Source organism: Homo sapiens, chromosome 2 (genome assembly GCF_000001405.40).
Source record: "Homo sapiens chromosome 2, GRCh38.p14 Primary Assembly".
Taxonomy (NCBI): domain Eukaryota; kingdom Metazoa; phylum Chordata; class Mammalia; order Primates; family Hominidae; genus Homo; species Homo sapiens.
Window position 1 is genome coordinate 217951961 of NC_000002.12, and position 22061 is coordinate 217974021.

At 48.1% G+C, this 22061-nt stretch overlaps 1 protein-coding gene and 1 long non-coding RNA gene across 15 annotated transcripts in view, besides 3 other annotated features; one reads left to right on the forward strand and one right to left on the reverse strand.

The window, feature by feature from the left end:
- TNS1 (tensin 1) overlaps window positions 1–22061 on the reverse strand; it is a 234192-nt gene that overhangs the window by 152170 nt on the left and 59961 nt on the right. Inside the window, exon 5 of one of the 14 annotated variants that reach the window (XM_047445636.1) lies at window positions 6359–6517. The exons of the other annotated variants lie outside the window; for them this stretch is intronic. Coding sequence (XP_047301592.1) covers window positions 6359–6517 — 159 coding nt within the window. The remainder of the gene's footprint in view (window positions 1–6358; window positions 6518–22061) is intronic. 14 annotated transcript variants of the gene reach the window in all.
- Window positions 5417–6991, forward strand: LOC124905960 (uncharacterized). Its single transcript, XR_007088087.1, has 3 exons — window positions 5417–5503; window positions 6657–6790; window positions 6891–6991. It is a non-coding gene; the product is annotated as an uncharacterized LOC124905960 (long non-coding RNA).
- Window positions 8030–8544: an enhancer, noted in NCBI's record as "H3K4me1 hESC enhancer chr2:218824713-218825227 (GRCh37/hg19 assembly coordinates)". NCBI's record gives its function as "activates a minimal SCP1, AML or CMV promoter by ChIP-STARR-seq in naive H9 embryonic stem cells {active_cell/tissue: H9 hESC(naive)}" and the evidence as "EXISTENCE:reporter gene assay evidence [ECO:0000049][PMID:30033119]".
- Window positions 12301–12838: an enhancer, noted in NCBI's record as "H3K4me1 hESC enhancer chr2:218828984-218829521 (GRCh37/hg19 assembly coordinates)". NCBI's record gives its function as "activates a minimal SCP1, AML or CMV promoter by ChIP-STARR-seq in naive H9 embryonic stem cells {active_cell/tissue: H9 hESC(naive)}" and the evidence as "EXISTENCE:reporter gene assay evidence [ECO:0000049][PMID:30033119]".
- Window positions 12839–13375: an enhancer, noted in NCBI's record as "H3K4me1 hESC enhancer chr2:218829522-218830058 (GRCh37/hg19 assembly coordinates)". NCBI's record gives its function as "activates a minimal SCP1, AML or CMV promoter by ChIP-STARR-seq in naive H9 embryonic stem cells {active_cell/tissue: H9 hESC(naive)}" and the evidence as "EXISTENCE:reporter gene assay evidence [ECO:0000049][PMID:30033119]".

Genomic DNA, 22061 nt, shown 5'->3' on the forward strand with positions numbered 1-22061 from the left:
CTAAGTGCCCGCAGTGGCCCAGGCCCTGTGAGGCCCTCCAGGCAGAACATGAACACAGCCAGATGGGCCCCTGCCCTCAAGGAGCACTTGATCTAGGAGAGGGAGCCGCTGAAGGAACAAACACAAACACACAACACAAATCGTGCTGAGTGACCTGAAGGGAAAGAACAGGCGGCCGGAGGGAGAGACATTTAGATCCCAACAGCTGATGGGCACTTAACATGTGCCAAGCCCTGGTACAGCCCCAGTGCCTGCATTCACTCATTCCCTCCTCTCCCCATACCTGGGAGTAGATGTTATTCTAACCCTACTTTGTACAGTTGAGAGAGCTCAGACGCAAGAGGTGAAGCCACTTGTCCAAAGTCAATGATAATGAGACAGCAAATAAGCAGGGGTGATAGGACTTGATTCCCAAGTTTGTACTCTTAACCACTATGTCATATTGCCTCTAAAAGGCCCAGAGAGGGTTCATTAAGGCCCACTTCCCAAACCGGTGACTCTCCCGCGCCACACACACACACACACACAAAAGCCAGCAGCAGCCTGCCCAGTGCAGAAGTCAGCAGGCCCAGCCTGGTGAGGACATGGACACCACACTGTGATCTTATCCATGTACCCAAATGCAGCACTGGCTTCACCAAGATGGCAGTCCCCAACCTCCAGACTTTCAGCTTGTTCTCCAACTCGGATGGCGTGGACACTTGACCTTTACGCTGGTAGGCTTCAAGGTGGCTGGAGGGACTGGCTAAAACAACATGAATGGGGCTGATGAAGACCCCTTCCCAGCAGGGCTTGCTTGAGAAATGGATCCTGGTCTCATGGATGCGAACAGGATTGGGGCAAGAAGGGCCCCCAAATCAGGGAAACAATCACTCCAAGCCCTCCCCAAGGCCACCCAATCAAGGCTCACAAAATGTTGAGGATTTAGAGTTGAGCAGCCCAGTCCTTTCCTTGTAATGACATGGAAATGAGGCCCAGGGAGGACAGGTATGGAGTCCCAAAATCACCATAGGGAGGAGCTCAATGACGTCAACCCTAGACAGGGCTCCAGCTCCCAGCCCAGCGCTCAGGCCTCTGCATCACACTGGTCCCCAGGAGAGGAGATGCTGGCCTGGCCATCTGGGGATGGAAGCAGGAGCCTCACGTCTGTTCCTAATGTCCATGAGGAGGGAAAGAGCAGCTCGGGCCCCTGGGGCAGTGAGGGATCTGCAGGGCCCAGATGAAGGATGCTTGGGCTCCAGGAGCAGCACAGTCCTGCCCTCCATTAGATGATCCTAGCAGAGGCTGGGGCGGAAGGGGTGGGAGAGTGCGGGGCAACAGCTACAGCCCCGCCCTCTGGGTGCTCCTCACCAGGGACCCCATGGGTGACTGTTTTCTTGGAACATTGTGTTCAGGCTGTGAGCCTTGGCTCAAGCAATCTACCCTGGCAAATCTCCAGCTGCCTGTTTAATAATGTACAGCCAATCGGCCATTAACTGCAAATTAAAAAAATAAAAAGAAAGAAAGAAAAGTTTGGTGGTTATTTCTGTTGTTGGGTTTTGGGATTTTTCTTCCAAGTACTTGGTGGTGGTTGTGAAAAACAAGTCTCTGGCCAGCGTTCAGGCCAATCATAGCCTGCCCTGGCTGGGGGACCCTGGCAGTTCCACTTGCCTTTGCCCACTCCCACCCACCTCACTGAGCCCAGGTGCCAAAGAGCCCGCTCCCACCTCCACAATCCTGGTGACGCCCTGGGTCAGCTACACTAGGGGAGCCACAGGGTGGCCTAGGAGGACCGAGGGAGGGGACGTGGGATGTGCTGGCAGGCAGAGGGAGCCCAGCTCTAAAGAGGCCAGTGCCTCCTAGGAATTCCACTCCCGTCTGGCCTGTGTCAGGAGCAGAAAGTAGAGCTGGCATGGCAAAAGCAGGTGTGAGGAGCTGAGTGAGACACCAGGTGGCCAGCTGTCCCCCTTGGGTACCTCTCCTGGGTTTCAGCTGTTTTCCATGTGGGATTCAAGACTTGCAGTCAGATCAGGGGAACCCAAAACCAGAAGACTCAGGAGAGCATTTAGGGCCAGAAGGGGAGACACTGATCCTGTAAGAAGATTCAAACAGAATGGTCCTGGGCCATCTGCAGAAGCTGGCTTGGGCTAATAAGCCCGCCAGGCTCTCCTTGTCTCTCCAGCCTGGCGAGGTGCTGCCTCCCCAAACTTCTAAGCAGAGCGAGGCAGTGCCGCATGTGGAAGGAGGCAGGAGCCAGGGGCTGGGCTCCTAGGGCTCTATTCTGGCTCCCTGGTGACCCTGCCCAGTCTCATGCCCTCTCTGGGTCTCCATCTTGTTGCTATGCTGCAAGCGAATGAGCTGCGGTCCCCCATCCTGTGTGGGAATGTCAGCCAGAAAGAGACTGCCAAGGCGAGATGCAGCGCAGCCAGCATGGACCCTAATCCTGATGATGATGGTGATGGCGATGATGCTGATGATGATGATAAGCTATCATCTATGGAGCTCTGAGGGTGCTCCGGGTACTCTATCTGGTTTATTCCTCCTGGTAACTAAGCAGGTACTGTGATTATCACCATGATAAACAGGAAACCGAGCTTTGAAGAGGGTGTCACTTGTCCAAATGTCACAAGGCTAGGGAGTGATCAAGGCAGGAGTTGGACTCAGGCCATCTGGCCTCAGGGCCCTTTACCATGCTGCCTTAGAGAGTCCAGTGCCAACTCCACTGCCAAGGAGGGTGGCGCAGACCCCACTGTCAAGAGCCCCAGCAGCCCTTCCTGCCCTGCCTGCACATCGTGCTGCTGACCTCTCCTTCCACCATCCAGCCTCCCAGCCACCCCTTGGGCCTTTGCTTCCTTTGTGTTCCCCAGGCCCCCTGTGGGCTTCCTGCACACATGGTGCCCACACACTCTCATGAGTAAAGGACCCAAAGATCCACATTGGCAAACACTTGCCCCCACACAGGCACATCGCCACACATACACATGCACAGAAGGGTCCTCAGACACACAAAAGATCCATGCACACACTTCCGTGAATGTACACACACACACACACAGGCACACTCATGAGCTCCACCCAACAGCGGCTGGGTGCAGGTACCCACGGGCTGTCTGGGCAGCCAGAGCCGGACAGGTGTCCGCCATAGTCCCCAGGGGGTTACTCCAAAGAGGAGAAACTGCTGGCTAATAACACTGCAGCACATTCCTGGGCCAAGATAAGTGGCTCCAGGCATCCTCAGCACGTTCCAGCCTCAGTGTCTCACCCCCGTGGGTTCCACGCCCGCAGTGCCAACTGGGAGGAACTGCAGAAGGTGGCACCACCAACACAGGTGCCCTGGCCAGGAACCAGCCACTCTCCCTTCTAGCCAGCTTCCCCCTCTCCAGGGGCCCCAGGACCATGTGGGCCTCAGTTTCCCCTCAGAGACATCCACGCAGGGAAGGAGGGGAAGGTCTGTATTCATCCTGAGAAGTGGGCCCAAACACGAGCCTTCCTCCCGCACAGTGCCCGTCCACCACCAGTCCCTCCAAGCTTATTCATCCTGAGAAGTGGGCCCAAACACAAGCCTTCCTCCCGCACAGTGCCCGTCCACCACCAGTCCCTCCAAGCTGGGCCAACACACACCCCACTGTACTGCCTCAGGCACCAAGTACTCAGTGCCTGGGCAGATCCTGGGCAGCAGGAGGTTACAGAGCCCCTCCTAAGCAGTGGGAGGCGGTCAACACCTTATCTCATCATGACTGTGGCTATTTGACAGGTGAGGGGACTGGAGCTCACTGAGATAGCACCCAGAATGTGAACCCAGGTCTTTCAAGTCCTAAGCCAGGGGTCTGTCCATGGCCTCAAACAATCCTCCCTCCTGGCCAGCTCTTGGAATTGAATATTTTCAGTGACACTGGGTAGATCAGGGACAATGTCCCTCTCAGGGAAAAAACTCATGTTCATTACAGGCTCAGAGACAGGGGACTCTCAGCACACACAAACAGGTAACGCTCCCACAAAATGTCAGGCATCTGGGGGTTGTTCTGGGGCCTCTGCAGCTGCCTTGAAGTGGGAGGGGTGTCCTTGGAACAGGAGATTGGAGGACATGAGCCCCCCCACCAAGTCCCAGAGTCACGGAAGGCTCTGGAGGAAATGGGAGCTGTGAAGTCAGAGAAAGGGGCTCCCCCACCCAGGGGTCAAGAGGATGGGGTCTTTGAATTTTGTTTTTTTTGTTTGTTTGGCTTGGTTAAAAAGAATTTTTTTTAATAGAAACAGTGTCTTGCTACATTGCCCAGGCTGGTCTTGAACTCCTGGGCTAAAGGGATCCTCCCACCTCAGCCTCCTAAAGTGCTGGGACTACAGGCATGAGCCACCGCACCCGGCCACTCTTTGAACTTTGGGCTATGGATCAGGGTGAAGGGCTGAGACCTGGGGAACAAGGGAGGCTCCTGGAGGGAACATGAGTGATACAGAGTCCTGAGGGGCGCAGCAGAAGGGGGAGTAACAAGGACGCAGAAAAGAGAAAGAACAAAGAAATAAAGACAGGGAGGGGGATCTGAAACACCCGAAGGAGCAAGGCTGCGGGGAGAGGATGGAGACACAGGCGCTGGAAAGTCCTGTGGGATCCTGGTGGTCCTAGAGAACAGCCCTCGCTTCAGTCTCTTTCTCCCCCTGTAACCTGACAAATGTTCTAGGGCTGCAGTTCTAAAGTCTGTGGACACCCACACACTCACACACACACAGCTCACACACATGCACCCCTAAATCTCAAGTGTCCCTCTGGGCAGCTCAGTCAATGAGGTCTAGAGCTGTCCCAGGCACTTCTCCAATGAGAAAACTGCGGCCCAGAGAAGGGCTGTGGCTTTCCCAGAGGTGCCTTGGATCCTGGGGAGATTGCTGGGAAGAGGACCTATGTGTCCCCATGGCCTCAGTTTCCTGGAAGACAATAAGACCAGCCAGTCAAACTGAGGCATGAGGCCTCCTAAGAAAAGGAAGGAGAGGAAGGAAGCAGCTCAGGGACTCTGGGACGTGACTTTCCCAGCCCTAAGGAGACGGGATCAGGGAGCGTCAGAGCAGTGACCCAAGCTTGACAGCAGCTCAGAGAGGACAGGACCTTGGCTAGCAATGAAAGCACAGGCTGGGGGCACGAGGAGTAGGACCACGGTATGGAGCGCAGCTGGAAGACGGGGTGTGTTCCCACGAGGCCACCCCCAGGGCGGCCCGCCCCCACCCCGGTAAGGCAGCTGTGCTTCCCAGAGCCCAGTGGCCCCATGGTGGCCAGCCCCTTCCGAGCCAGCCAGGCAGCCTTACATGGACATCTCAGGGACATGGTATTTATGAGATGAGGTATCCAGTGAAGCAGCCATGCAAGCTCCCCCTCCCTGCCCAGCTTCACTCCAAGGTGCCGCACTCCTCCCACTGTGTCTCTGCATACACACCCAGCCCCTTCCAGAGCCCCCTCTCCTTCCTGGGGACAGGACGGTGGGACTGGCAGGCTAAGGCTGTACATGAGAGGGAGCCGACACTGGACTCCTGATTTCACCAGGTAAAAACCATGAAATAAGGACCCATCAGAAACAGTCAGCATGTATCACCAATTGGCCGGTGAAGATGGTGGCAATGATATATGTCAATATATGATTACTATGGAAATAGACAGAGGCCTGAGAGAGCACAGCTTCTATGTTCTTCTGCCTGATTCAAAGAAACCAATCCAAATAAGACATTTTTGAGATAATTAGAGAAAATTGAACACAGATGGGGTAGTAGCTGATCATAAGAAATTATTATTAATGATGTTAACTGTGATAATGGTATTATGGTAATGTTAAAATAAAAAGTCCTTATCTATTAAAGATGCATACTGAAGTATTTAAAGTAAAGTGATATAATGTCTGGGGTTTGCTTGAAAAGTACTCCCGCAAAAAAAAAAAAAAAAAAAAAAGGTGGGGAGAAGAGGGAGAACAGATGAAACAAAAACAGCAAAAAATGGATGGTTGTTGAAGCCGGGGGTAGGTACAAAGGAGTTCATTGCATCATTCTTGGTACTTCTGTATAGGTTTTAAATCTCCCATAATAAAGAATTCACACACACACACACACACACACACAAAAGGAGGAGCTCATCTGATTCCAAGTTTCCTAAAGTGTGAGATTCAAGATGATCTTAGTTGGAAACATAGCACAATTTTATTTTAATATTTATGTATTTCAAGAAAAATTAAAAACATATCGTAGACCAAGACCATACCTTCTATCACTTAGAATACATAAAAGGTTTAAAAAAAAGCAAACTGGGTTTTTTTAAATGAAGTGAGCAGTCGTGTAGGATGGTGATAACTGACATGGTCAAATGGGAAAGGAGAAAATGCCAGATGCCGTTAGGAAACAGTGAGCTCACCCAAGGTGCCCCTTCATGGGAAGCTGACATGCAGTCCCACACGGCAGTCACGCACCCTCTTCCCAAACCGTCGTCTGCATCCTGAGCATGCAGGTTCATGGCTACACGGGAGACATCGGTCACAGAGGAAGAGCACGCTGGCGGTGGGTGGGTGGATGGCTGGGATGGAGAATGACGATGGTAAATGATGATGACAGTGGCTTTTCACCAAGGGTGGCTCTGGACTAGTTCTTTACTTCCATTTTCTCCAATCCCCACATAGCCCTCATGGGTAGACCTAACCATGTCCATCTTACAGACAGGTAAAGTGTGACTGAGAGAGGAGAAGCGACCTTCTCAACGCCCCAAGACCAGTGGGTGGCAGAGCCGGATGTTGAACTCACATTTCTTTGACACCCAAGCCTGCACTTGTTGAACCGCCCAGGCAGGCAGGTAAGCAACCAGTCCAGCGGGAGCCTGAGGCCCAGCAGATGGTGGGTGAGGTTAGGGTGGGTTAGGGTAGTGCCCTGAAGAAGGCTTCCTCCTTGCCCAGGTTTCTAACTCTACACCTCTAGGAAACTGAGGATGGGAGAATGAGGAACTCAAACCTTCTACAAGGTTCTCAGCACCTGGAGATCCGCAGCCAGTTTTCATGGCAGCCCAGGCCCCAGGCCACTGAGCAAGTCTTGCCTCCCATTCTTGCATCTTCTCTCAGGACCAGGGTCCTGTGTCCTGGGATGAGACAGGCTGAAGGGGAACCTAGTGCTGCACTGTGCGGGGAGGGGGCTGTTGGGACATCGGCAGCCCAGGAGTCCTGGTTTCACCCATTCCTTAGCTGTGTAATGTAAGGCATGCAGCTTCACCTCTCTGAGCCTCAGTTTCCCCCTCCTCCCCACCTTACTTTCTCTGTTCCTGCTAAAACTGGAATGGTAGTAATAGCAACTTCTTCATGGGTTGTTTGAAGAATTTATTGACACAACTCACATAAAGCACTTAGGATGGAAACTGGTGTCTTAGCATGGAACCTTAGCATGGAACCTGGTATCTTAGCATGGAACCTTAGCATGGAACCTGGTATCTTAGCATGGAACCTGGTGTCTTAGCATGGAACCTTAGCATGGAACCTGGTGCCTTAGCATGGAACCTGGTATCTTAGTATGGAAACTTAGCATGGAACCTAGTGCCTTAGCATGGAATCTTATCATGGAACCTGGTGTCTTAGCATGGAATCTTATCATGGAACCTGGTGCCTTAGCATGGAACCTTAGCATGGAACCCTAGCCTGGAACCCGGTGCCTTAGCATGGAATCTTAGCATAAAACCTGGTGCCTTAGCATGAAGACTGGTGTCTAATTGCTTAATAAATGATAACCACTATTATTATTATTATTATGGACTATCCCACCCAATGTCCACACTCAAGCCCTTTGGTATTCAAGGTTCTGATGAGACTGGCCCAAGGGAAGCAGCTGGGTGGGCATTAGCCGGAGGACACAGAGGCAGCTGGACGCCTCTGTGGGTGGAGGGAGAGAGGGGCAAGTGGGGGCCTCAGCTCTAGCCTCTCCAGGAATGCGGCTGGGGCTGGGAGGGTGGGAGTGAGGGGAGATGCCTCGCCGCTGAGGTCAGGCCCTATTCAGAGCTGGCAGAGTGTTTATCATCATCCTCACGTGTGAAGGGAGGAGGGTGGAGAAGGAAGCCGGCAGGAGGAGGAGGAGGAGGAGCAGCAGCTGCAGAGGGTCTAGAAGGGACTCTCAGTAGGGCCACCGCTGCACAGCCCCTCACCTACCCTTGTACTGGGGTCCTAGGAGACTCCACCAGTCCCTCCACTAACTCACCCAGTGAGTGGGGGGCAGAAGGAGTGTCCCCGACTCATTGACCCATCCAGGAACAGGACATCCACCCCACAACATGTACCATTTACAAAGCTCTTCACAGCAACCCTGCAAGCCAGGTGTTATTTTCATTATCCCTATCTTACATTTGAGGAAATTGAGGCTGGGGGTGGTCAAGTGTGCTGCCAAGAATGCTCACTGATACTAGCCCCATCTCCTGGTCTCCACACAGAACACAGAGGCAGCTGGATGCCTCTGACAGTGGAGGGCAAGGGGGACCAGTGGGGGACTCAGTCTCAGCCTCTTGGGAACATGGCCAGGTCTAGGAGGCTGGCTCCCAGGGGTGGATGCAGGGCAGGGGGCATGTGAGAACAGATGTGGTCTTAGAGGGCACAGATGGCCCATGCTGTTTTCCACAGGTCCATGCCAGGCAGGCTGGGACTCTAGCACTCGGCCTCCACGTACCAGCAGCCCAGCTTCTGATCCACACCTCCAGACACACACCCCACCAGTGCGGGAAGGCTCAGCCTTTCCCCGCCCAACACAACCATTTCTGTCCTTGAGATTCCAATTAAGGGAGTCCCAGCTGCTCCTTCAGTCCCCTGTCCCCCTTCCAGTCTCCCTACCACCAGAGGACAACCCCTCCTTAGGACAACCCCAATTCCCTCCAGCTGCAGTTCGATCTGTTTCCCCCTAGGCTGTCCTCCAGGAAGACCAAGAAAAGCACCTGGTTACCCTCAGTGACTGTCTGGTAGCCACTCCTCTACTGAATCACGAACCACTCTGAGCCTCAGTTTCTCCTCGTGGAAAAAAGGAAAACAACTGGCACCCAGGGAAGCAGTAGGATGCCAAGGCCCCATCAGTGAGGGAGGTCTTTGGGATGTATGTAGGGTTTTCCCCTTGCAGGAAGGCTCCTCTCTCCCTAGCTTCCATGTCTCCCTCCCAAATCCTGGAAAGCCACATACTCCCTCTCCTCCCATCCTCCCCCAGCAGCCTATAGAACTTCAGGGAGCTCTGTCCAGTTAGGGAGCCCTGCTCAGTGGCTTTCGATTCAAATCCCAGAGGGTTTCCCACCACCATCTCAGGGTGTCTCTCTCTCTCTCTCTCACACACACACACACACACACACACAGAGAGAGAGAGAGAGAGAGGCTGAAGCTGTAATTCCTGCCTGGGCTCTATGGTTGACCCACTTTGGTCTGTCTGTTACCCTCTTCCAAACTGCTCAGATCAGAGAGAGGAACCACTTTGGTCGGCACCACCTTAGCCTCTCCTTAAAGGGAAGAATATCCCAGGTGTGTCCCCAGGAGGAGTGAAAACTCCAGGTCCAAGTCCTGAAAGTACCTGAAGCCAAGCCCTTGGCTTTCTCACTCTGGCTTAAAGGCAGGCCTTTAAAATCCTCTGATCCCCTACATACCCAGGAACAATGCTTCTCCCATCTTACAAATGAAAGGAGGGATTTGCACAAACCCTCACAGAGAGTGGGAATCAAAGGTCACAGCTGAAAACGAAAGATGCCAGGACCTGAATGATACACTTTCATCCCAAATCAGCCCGGTGGGACCCCCCCATTCTTCATTCACCCAACCCATGTTGACATAGGAAATGATTTCCATACTCCCGAGAAAAGAACTTTTGCTGAGTGTGATGATGAGTTCTCTGTATCAACTTGACTAGGCTATAGTACCCAGTGATTTAACCAAACACTACTCCAGTCTACAGTCTACAGTCAGATTAATGTCTACAGTCAGGGACCTTAAGTAAAGGAGGCTAACCTTGAAAAGGTGGGTGGCCTTCTCCAATCAATTGAAGGCCATAAGAGCATAAACTGAGGTTTCCTGAAAAATAAGATATTCTGCCTCAAGAATCTGCAACATCAACTGCTACCTGAGTCTCTGGCCTACACACTTCACACTTGCCAGGCCCCACAATTGTGTAAGCCAATCCCTTACAATAAATTTCTTAATATGGGTTCTGTTTCTCTGGAGAACCCTGATGAATAAAATGAGTAGATAAGAGAAGTCAAGAACCAGGCTGGGTGAGGTGACTCACGCCTATAATCCCAGCGCTTTGGGATGCCGAGGCGGGTGGATCACCTGAGGTCGGGAGCTCAAGAGCAGCCTGACCAACATGGAGAAACCCCATCTCTACTAAAAATACAAAATTAGCTGGGCGTGGTGGCGCATGCCTGTAATCCCAGCTACTTGGGAGGCTGAGGCAGGAGAATTGCTTGAACCCAGGAGGCGGAGGTTGCAGTGAGCCGAGATCATGCCATTGCACTCCAGCCTGGGCAACAGGAGCGAAACTCCATCTCAAAAAGAAAACAAAAAGTTAAGAACCATGGGTCCTACCAACACAAGGAGCTCCCATTGGCCATGGCTAGATCAATTGGATTCAAGAAAAAAAAATGACCATATGAGTTTATGATCCATAAAGTGAATGTCAGGGTGTCCATACTGACAAATAAATAATGGAATAAATCAGTAAAATGGGGATAAGGCACCATTCTTTACAGTAGAATTCCAGTTAATAAATGTAGAAAGAATGATGGAAAGAGAAAATCAAACACACCCAAATTGAGGGACATTCTTCAAAATAACTAACCAGCACTCTCCAAAAGTGCCAAACTCATCAGCAACAAAGAAAGACAGAAGAACTGTCCCAGATAGGAGAAGACTCAGGAGACACGATGACCACATGCAATGTGGGATCCTGGATTGGATCCTAGATCAGAAAAAGGGCAGTGGTGGGAACACTGGCCAAATTCTACTACAATCCTCAGATTAACGTCAGATCAATGTGAATGTCCTGGTTTTGATAACCGTGCATGGTTATGTAAGATGTCAGCATTAGGGGGAGTTGGGTGAAGGATATAAGGAAACTCTGTACTATTTTTGCAAATTTTGTGTAAGTTTAATCATCTCAGAATACAAAGTAACAAAACAAAAACTTGGGTTCTAAGGAAGGCACAGATTAGGGTCAGATGAGGGTCAGAGGATAGTTCAAGAATTAAGTCCTTGGAAGGGGAGAGGAGTTCAACCTGAGAGGTCCCGAGATACCTCCAGGAATCAGACAAGGGATGCTCAGACTAAGAGGGCAGAGGAGGAAGAATGCAGACCACCCAGGGAACACGGAAAACAGAACTGGCCCAGGGATAATTGGCACAGGTGCTCCGGCACGGGGTCATCACCTGGAGAGAGCCAGACTGCATCTAATGACAATAACCATGCCACCGCCACCACACCACAGCCATCACAGGTCACTGGCTATCATGCACCGGGAGCGTAAAAGCACTCTCCATACCTAGCTCATCTAATCCTCACCACAAGACTGCAGGCAGGACTCATGACCCCAGCTTATGGACCAGGAAGCTGAGAACCTGCGCACTTGAGAAAATGGCCCAAGGCTACTCAGCTATAAGCAGGGGAGGCAGGAAACAAATCGGCTCTAATGTATATTTCCAAATAGCTAGATAAGAATAATTCCAGTGTTTCTAGCATGAAGAAAAGATAAATATTTAAGTTGATGGATATCCCAATTACACTGATTTGATCTTTACAAATTATATGACTGTATTAACTCATCACGTGAGCCATGAAAATATGTACATTTACCGAAAAAAAAAAAAAAAAGGCCAGGCTCAGTGACTCACACCTCTAATCCTAGCACTTTGGAAGGCCTAAGTGGGAAGATTGCCTGAGCTCAGGAGTTTGAGACCAGCCTGGGCAACATGGTGAAACCCCATCTCTACTAAAAATACAAAAAAAAAAAAAAAATTAGTCGGGTGTGGTAAAATTTCTTAAAAATCAGCTCTGACTCCCCAGGCCCCAAATCTTAAAACAAGAGACTTTGACTGTTTCCAGTCCAACCTTCCTCCCCACAACGTAAGACAGCTACTGAGAGCTCACCTCCTCACAAGACGGCTGGTCCAGTGGAGAACATTCAAATTGTCTTCCCTGGAGGTTCGGGAGGCCTCAGTAAAGCAAAACATGACAAGCCAGTTTACACTCACTTCCTCCACCCAACCCAACTGCAGCCTCTGTCCTCAGACTTTATTCACAGAGGGGTGCTGATCATAATTGCTAGCATTTATCTATTGCTCTAAGCACTTTGTAGGCATTAATGCATTTAATTCTTACAATCATCTTATGAAGCAAGATCTATGTTTATGACTATTACAGATCAAGAACTCAAGTCACAAAGAGGCTGTGCAACTTGTCCAGTGTCAGAGATAGTGAGTGTTGAAGAAGAAAAGTCAGACTTGGCACTCAGCTCAGATTCTCTCCCCAGGCCTCTCCCTAAGCCTGGGCTCAAGTCCCCGGTCCTGGTTCCACCACCTTACCGGCTGTGTGAGCGCACTGCTCAATCATCTGAGGCGTTTCCTCCTCTGTGCCCTAGCGATTATATTAATACCTATCTTGTAGTGTTGCTGTGAGGATTAGATTAAATAGATCCTGTGTGTGCTAGGATATAGGAGTTTTGGAAGCTGCGCGCTGATGTGGAATTCAAGCCAGTGTGAGTTCTGTATGCAGACGAGGGCTCCAGGGCTTTCCTGCTGCTCCTCCAACCACATGTGACCCACGAGTGACCTTCCTCCCCTGCTTCCTTGAACAGGACCTAGTCTGAACCCAGACACCCCTGGACACCCTCGCTTGGGTGCGCCGGGCCGCGCCAGAGGAAACAGGCCAGGGGGTTAATCTGTGACTCGCTCTGTGTTCTGCTGTGCCCCAAGACACATACACCCCTCTCCTCCTAACGGCCCCCCGCTAACATCCCACCCACCTGCCCGCTGCAAGGGGCATTGGCCAAGTCACTCATCAGCCAGGAGCCAGAACCCCCAGAGAGAGGGAGCAGGGGTGTCAAAGATCCTTGGCAGGGCGGAGCAGAGATAAACAACTGCAGGGGAGGGGAATACACAGGGCCAGCAGGTGGCTGCAGGCAGAGGAATCCATTGGAACAGGTTAAGGGAACGCGAACCACAGTCATTCAGTGGAGCTGCCCTGGCCTGCTGGCTGGTGGATTTCTGGGGCACTTAGCTGTTTGTTATTTCTGGGGCACTTAGCTCTTTATTATCCTAGGATCTCAGAAGAATAGAACAAGAGTTATCTATTGAGCAAAAGCCTATCACATGCCAGGATTTTACCTACATTCTCTCTAATCCTCCCACCAACCTTGCAAGGTCAGCATGATATCAGCAAGATATCAATGTCACCATTTTTATACAGCTGAGGAAACCTGATTTCAGAGTGGGAGTGACTTGCCTGATACAACAAGGTTCATGTAAATAGCAGAGTCAAGAGCCTCCTAAGCCGGAGGCCACAGGGACTCCAACTGCATGCACCAGGCCACCTCTCCTGCTGTCCAGGCTCAGGAAGTGGGTAGTTCTAGGTCAGTGGCTTGGGAGGCTCAGAGAACTACAACTGAGTCTGAGCCTCCAGGCAGAGCCCAGCAGCAGAGAATGCTAGGTTCTCATAAGGCATCCTGGGCCTCCCTCCACACCAGCAGGTTCTCTCAGCCAAGGTGGAGCCCCAGGAGGCAAGGAGCTGCTACTCACCACTGCCAGGCTCACCACACCCCGGGAGGCGGCCGTCCACCAGCAAAGGCCTTGCTCTCCCTGCTTAGCCAGCTCAACGGGCACCACAGACCCCCCGAGCTAGAAGCCAGAAGCAGCCAGGGTGGCTGGTGTGGACCAGGGGTCTCCTCCCACCTCACCGATAGAGCTCCTAACCTGAACTGGACCTTCTGCCCTCCCCTGGTACCACACCACAAACCCCGCCCTCCTAGATCCCTCACCTGCTCAGTGGGACTCCACTGGTCTTTGTTCCCTCTAGCGTGCTTCATCCAGCATCCTGTTCCACCAGGACCCCAGGACTTTCCTCTCCTCTCTCTCTCTCTCCATTCTCCATCTCCCATTTGCCCTTCTCTCTGCTCTGGGCTCCTACCCTCCCCCTCTCTCTAACTCCTCTGGTCTCTCAGATGCAGCAAACCCTTGTGTGATGTTTACACAGCCGCAGCGTCAGAAACGCTGAAAAATATGAGACCTTTGGGGAGCCACATTCCAGGAAAATGAGAAGCCAGTCACAGCTCAGTGTCTCTTCACCCCCAGCCTTGCCCCTCCCTGCTATGGGGAGCAGGCTGCGTGTGTGTGTGTGTGTGTGTGTGTGTGTGTGTGTGTGTGTGCGCGCGCGCGCGTGTGTAAGGAGACAGCAAGAGAGAGAGAGACTCAAAGATGTCAGGGGAAGTTAAAGCTTCTTGCAAAATTGTTATAAAGCAAGAGAAAGTAGCTTCTCCCCCAAAACCTACCTCATCCTTGAATCCATCCCCAGCGAAGCTGAAGCCAGAAGAACAGACACCAGGGGAAGCAGTAACTTCCCCAGGGCCTGCATCCAGTTAAGTTGAAGAGGCATTTCCCAGGGCAAACACGGGCTCCACAAGCGCTGCCAGGGACCCAGCATCAGATGTTGGAAAATAATGCAGATCCCTAAGTCTAACCCCAGATGCACTGAGTCAAACTTGACAGGGCAGGAGTATGCTGAACAGGCTCACCAAGCGATGCTGAGGCTCACTGAACAGCACAAGGGAACACTGACCCATTGCTCTCCCCTAAGCAATGATAAAGTCAGAAAATCATGAAGTCACAGCTGTGGGGAGTAGAGGCTGAGTGTGGAACACGAAAGGTCCCTTGCTGTACTGAAATCCATCAGACATTAGAGCCAGACTCTCAGACCCGAGCAGGAAGCCCACATCACTGCCTGCTGGTTGCATAACTGGTGTTAAGACTTTCCCTTCAATGGCTCATCTGACAGTGTGAACAATCACATCTGCTTTATATGTGGTATTTCAAGGATTAAATGAGAAGAGTGTCACGTAGTCACCATGCAGGGGATACTTAATAAACAGTGTCTATAGGCCGGGTGCGGTGGCTCACGCCTGTAATCCCAGCACTTTGGGAGGCTGAGGTGGGCGGATCACGAGGTCAGGAGATCGAGATCATCCTGGCTAACACGGTGAAACCCCATCTCTACTAAAAATACAAAAAAAATTAGCCAGGCTTGGTGGCAGGCACCTGTAGTCCCAGCTACTTGGGAGGCTGAGACAGGAGAATGGCATGAACCCAGGAGGCGGAGCTTGCAGTGAGCCGAGATCAAGCCACTGCACTCCAGCCTGGGTGACAGAGCGAGACTCGGTCTCAAAAATAAATAAATAAATAAATAAAAATAAAAAATAAACAGTGGCTATAAGCAAAAGTAAGGAAAAGGTAAATTCTTTGAAAAGATCAACAAAATTGGCAAAACTTCAGCTAGATTGATTAAGATTCAAAGAAAGAAGACTCAAATTACTCAAATCACAAGTGAAAGAGGGGACATTACTACCAACCTTTCAGAAATAAAAAGAATTATGAAGAAATACCATGAATAAATCAGATAGCTAAGATAAAATAGACAAATTCCTAGAAAGGCATAAACTACCAAAACTGACTCAAGAAGAAATTAGAAATCTGAATAGACCTATAATAAATAAAGAAATTGAACTGGCAATCAAAAAACTACACGCAAAGAAAAGCCCAGGTCCCGATGGCTTCACAGGTTTAAATGTTCTCCACAAACTTTTAAAGAAGAATCAATATCAATTCTTTACAAATTCTTCCAAAACATAGAAGACAAACAAACACCTCTCAAATCATTCTATGAGGCCAAAACCAAAGATATCAAAGGAAAAAGAAAACTACCGTCCAATATCTCTTTCGAATATAGATGTAAAAATCCTCAAGAAAATGCTAGCAAAGTGAATCCAGAAACATTTAAGAAAGAGAATTATACACCATGACCAAATGGGACTTATCCCAGGAATGAAAGGTGGTTTTAACAACTGAAAATCAATTGATGTATTATACTGTATCAATAGACTAAAAAAACAAAAACTACATGATCATCATTAAAAGAATTTGACAAAATCCAACACCATTTCATGATTTCAAAAACATTCAACAAACTAGGAATAGAAGGAAACTTCCTCAACCTGATGAAGGGCATCTGTGAAAAATCCACAGCTAATATCATGCTTAGTGGTGAAATATTGGATAGTTTCCTCCTAAGTTCGGGAACTAGACAACAATTTCTGCTCTTGCCACATCTAGTAACATTGTATTGAAGTTTCCAGTCAGGACAATTAGGCAAAAAATGAAATAAAAAGCATCCTGGTTGGAAAGGAAAAACTAAAACTATATTCACAGAGGACATCATCTTGTATGTAGAAAATCCTAAGGAACCCCTTAAATACTATTAGAATTAATAAATACTGATGATTGTAAGATAAATCATCACTACACAAAATCAATTATATTTTCATATACTGACAATGAAAGACCTAAAAATGAAATTAAGAACAACTCCATTTAAAACAGCATCAAAAAGAACAAAATACTGAAGAAAAACTTCACAAAAGAAGTAAAAAATATATACTCTTAAAATTACAAAATATTGTTGAAATAAATTAAAGAAGATATAAATAAATATAAACATATCTCATGCTCATGAATCAGAAAACTCAAAATTGTTTTTTGGTGTTTTTTGTTTCCTGTTTTGATCAAAGTCTCACTCTGTCACCCAGGCTGGAGTGCAGTGGAGCAATCTCAGCTCAATACAACCTCCGCCTCCCGGGTTCAAGAGATCTTCCTACGTCAGCCTCCCGAGTAGCTGGGTTTACAGCTGTGCACCACCATGCCTGGCTAATTTTTGTATTTTTAGTAGAGATGGGGTTTCACCATGTTGGTCAGGCTGGTCTCGAACTCCTTACCCACCTCAAGTGATCCACCCACCTCGGCCTCCCAAAGTGCTGGGATTACAGGCATGAGTCACCACTCCCAGCCTCAAAATTGTTAAGATGGCAATACTCCCCCAGTTGGCCCACAGAGTCAATGCAAACCCTATCAGAATTCCAACTGGCTTATTTGTAGAAATTGACAGGCTGATCCTAAAATTTATTTAAGGGACACAGAATAGCCAAGACAACCTTGAAAAAGAATAAAGTCAGAGAATTCACACTTCCCAATTTTGAAACTTAATACTAATGATGCCAAGATCATTCAGTGGGGAAAGAATGATCTTTTCACCAAATAGTGCTGGAACAAATGGATAACCACATGCAAAACAGCATTTACCTTACTTCACATCATATATAAAAATTAACTCAAAATGGATAAAAGACCTAAATATAAGAGCCAAAACTGTAAACTCTCAGAAGAAAACAGGGGTAAATCTTTGTGACCTTGGATTTGGCAATAAATTCTTAGATATGAAAGCAAAAGCACAAGCCACTAAAGAAAAAATAAACTAGACTTCAACTAAATTCAAAACTGGCTTTTAAGACAACCAGAGAATAGAAAAAAAAAATTCAGATCTATATTTGATAAGGAATTTGTATCCTGAACGTATAAAGAACTTTTACAACTCAATAATAAAAGACAAATAACCCAATTTTTTAAATGAACAATGTCAATAAACATTTCTCCAAAAAAGATACACAAATAATCAATAAACACATGAAAAGACACTCAACATCATTACTCATCAGGGAAATCAAATCAAAACCATGATGAGATACCACTTGACATCCACTAGAATGGCTACAATCAAAAAGTCAGATAATAACAAGTGTTGACAAGGATGTGGAAAAATTGGAAACTTCACATATTGCTAGCAAGAATGTAAAATGGCACAGCTATGTTATGGGTTGAATTATGTCCCTCACAAAAGATGTGCTGAAGTCCTAACCCCCAGCACCTTTTTGAAAGTAGGGTCGTTACAGATGTAATCAAGCTCTAAAATGGGGTCATGAGGATGGGCCTTAACCATCTATGACAGTTCCTGATAAAAAAAAAAAATTTGTACACAGAGACACATAGACACAGAAGGAAGATGATGTGAGGACACAGGTAGGCCACCACGTGAAGACAGAGGATGGGTGATGCACCTACAAGCCAAGGAACACCAAAGATCGCTGGAAACCTCCAGAAGCTGGAAAGAGGCAAGGAAGGGCCCCTGCAGGTTTCAGAGGGAGCACAGGCCTGCCAACACCTTGATTTTTGACTTCTAGCCTCCAGAACTGTGAGACAATACATTTCTGTTGTTTTAAGTCACCTAGTTTGTGATACTTTTTTAGGACAGCCCTAGAAAACCAATATAAGCTATTGTGTAAAACAGCTGAGCAGCTCCTCAAAACATTAAACATAGAGTTACCCTATGACTCCACAATTCCACTCCCAACTACACACACCCAAGAGAAATGAAAACAGATGTCCACACAAAAACTTGTACATGAATCCTCATGGCAACATTAGTCATAATAACCAAAAAGTGAAACAACCCAAATGTCCACCAACTGATGAATGGAAAAACAACATGGGCTACACTCATATAATGGAATATTACTCAACCATAAAAAGGGAGCTACAGCATAGATGTACCTTGAAAATATTATGCAAAGAAAAAGAAGCCAGTCTTGAAGACCACAGCTATGAAACCATCAGAATCGGCAAATATATAGAGACGGGAAGATTAGTGGCTACTGATTGCTGGGGTGAGGTCGGGGAGAGATAGAGGGATTAGGGGTTCAAGCTAAAGGGTACAGGGTTTCTTTCCGAGCTGCTGAAAATCTTCTAAAATTGACTGTGGTGACAGTCACACAACTCTGTGATGATACAAAAAAAATCATTGAATTGTACACTTTAAATGGGCGTATTGTGTGGTATGTGAATTAGTTATACCTCAATAAAGTTGTTAAAAAAAAAAACCAGGAAAGAAAGCCCTCAACCCCAGGAAGCGCTATTAAATACATGGGATTGTGCTAGCACTGGCCAAGAAGACAGAGCTTGGTCTCCAGAAGCCATAGACCAATGGTTCTCAAATGTGGCTGCAAAGGAAGTGCACATGGGAAATGTTATTAAAATAAATTTTATTAAGATATAATTTACATACAACAAAATGCATCCCTTTTAGGAATAGAGTTCAACGGGTTTTGACAGGTGCATGCATAATTACCACAATCCAGATAGAGAACAATTCCATCCCCCAAGGAAGTTCCTTCACACACCTTTGCAGCCAATCTCCCCACCACTCCCAACTCCAGGTAACTACTAATCTGCTCTGTCACTAGCGATTTGTCTTTTCCAAATTGCATTAAAAGGGAATCACCCAGTATGTGCCCTTTTTGTGTCTGGCTTCTTTCACTCAGCATGACGTTTTAGAGGTTCATCCACACTGTTGCGCATAGATCATTCCTTTTTATTGCAGTGTAGTATCCCACTGTACTATGACATTGCAATTTCTTTATCCATTTACCTGTCATTGAATATAAAGGTTCGTTCCAGTTTGGGGCTATTGGAAATAAAGCTGCTATGAATATTTGTGAACAAGTCGTCTTTTTACAGACATGTGTTTACTTCTCTCGGATAAATATCTTGGAGTGGAATTTCTGGGTCATACAGCAAGTGTATGTTGGATTTTATAAGAAATGGCCAAACTGTTTCTAGAGCAGCTGTACCATTTTACATTCCCACCACTGGTTACCACTTTTAAAAATCCCAATGCCCAGGTCAGGTCGTAGCCAAAACTAATTAAATCAGAACCTCCAGGGAGTAGAATACAGACATCGGTTTTCTTAAAGCACCAAGGTGATTCTAATGTGCAGACAAGACTTCAAACCACTGCTAGAGATCTCAGGGGCCATTCAGCAGGCAAACAAGCGAAAGACATATCATATTTGCCTATAGAATTTCCTCACTCTTCCTTGATAATAGAGAGAGAGAAAAGAAGGAAAAACAAAAGCAGTGTCTATCCAGTCTTCACACCACTGCCCTCAGAAAGCTTTGTTGATCTCTCAGATTCTCTCCACCTTACAGGAAGTAGGAGAAGGCCAGAAGAATACAAAATAATAAGTACATATTAGCAACTTTTTAACAACTGAGTTTTGAGCTTAGCATTTTAGTAGGGTTACCATTCCCAGCCCTCACAAGAGCTCTACAAGATAAGTACTACTAGAATCACCATGTTACAGATGAAGAAGCTGGGGCTCAGAGAGGTTCAGTAACTTGCCCAAGATCACACAGCCAGTTATTGATGCAGCAGGGATTTAAACTTAAGTCTGTCTCCAAAGTCCAAGAGCTTAAACACTCCACTAGGCTCAGAGCCATCGATGGTCCTGGGGCCATGAACCTCCTCCCACTCAGGTATTTCTGGTAGCAGGAGAATACAAGCCTCCAACCCAACTGTAAAAGAAGGCTGCAGGTGTGTTTACAAGACTAGCAGGAAAGGTAATCTGCAATGAGACTGAAAGGTGGGGGTTAATTATGGGATTTCCTTTCCTTTCAAGCTTAAAGGATGAGATTTAAGCCCTTTTGGTACAGGGGAGGAGACCAAGCTGTTGCTGCAGCCTCCTCCCTCCGCCTCAGTTGGTACTTGGGACTGGAAAGAGGTAACAGAGAGCTAAGGAAGGAAGCCAGTGGATAAGAAAGAGCCACCCAAGAGGCTGAAGCCTGGGCCATCTGCCTGCCCAGCAGCTGCCTGGTCCTTTCACTGAACTCTTGTCTGACCTGCAGCAGACAAAGAGTATTTGGCTGGAACAGGCTGCTGTTGTCAACTGAAACTGCTATTTCAAAACAAGGAGTGAGGATCAGCAGGGAGGAAAGCATTTTTCAAAATGTATCCAGGGGCTAGGGGAAACTGGGTGCTTGCCACACAGGAACTTTCTGTACTATCCTTTGCAACTTTTCTGTAAACCTAAGACTATTCTAAAATTAAAAGTTTTACTTAAAATAATAAATACATAAATAAAAGTTATTTGAAAGTTATGGAGTCATATAGCAGGGGACAGAAGAGAAAAGCAAAAAGGAAGAAAAGCTGCTGTATACACACAGCACATGTGCTAACATAAAAGTGGAAGGCAGGCAGGGTGTGGTGGCTCATGCCTGTAATCTCAGCACTTTGGGAAGTCAAGGCGGCCAGATCACTTGAGCCCAGGAGTTCAAGACCAGCCTGAGCAACATGGCGAGACCCTGTCTCTACAAAAAGTAAAAAGAAAATTAGCCAGGTGTGGTGGCGCACACTGCAGTCCCAGCTCGGACTCGGAAGGCTGAGGTGGGAGGATTGAGGATGGCTTGAGCCCATGAAACTGAGGCTGCAGTGAATCGTGACCACACCACTGCACTCTGCCCTGGGCAACAGAGTGAGATCCTGTCTCTGAAAAAAAAAAAAAAAAAAAAAAATTGGAAGACAAGTCCTGGGCCATTCATTTTAAATCCTCAACAGGAGAGAAACAACTGGGGACAGATAAGGACCCCAATGAGGGGTAAGGGTGGGAATTAAGGAGACTGGGAATTTGCTTCCTTCAGGAGATGTAGAATGGGGTTTCCATGAACTACAGTAAGATTCCTGGCTCTGACCCAGGCCCCTCTCTCCAGTGTCTGATGCTTTCACGCTTGTTCTCTCTCCTCACCTGCTCCCTGCCCATTTAACCCAGAGCAGACCAGAATCACATCGAAGGCCCCTATGCCAAGGTGCCATTAGCCAAGTTGGGCACCGTCATGGGGCCTGGATGTTGGATCTGTACAATGGGGCCACCGTGAGCCCTGCCCACCTCACAGAACTGCAAAGACGAGGGAAAACATGTTGTAGATTACAAAGTTCTGTGTAGACAGAGGTGACTAAGGGTTCATAGCAGGTCTGCTCCTAACAGTCCCAAACGGGAAAGAACCCAAATGGCAATCAACAGTGGAATGGATAAATACATTGTGGTTTCTTCACGTAATGGAATACAACATAGCAATTAAAAAGAATGAGCTCCTGCAATCCGCAAGAACACGATGAGCCTCCCAGACATAATGCTGAGTGAAATAC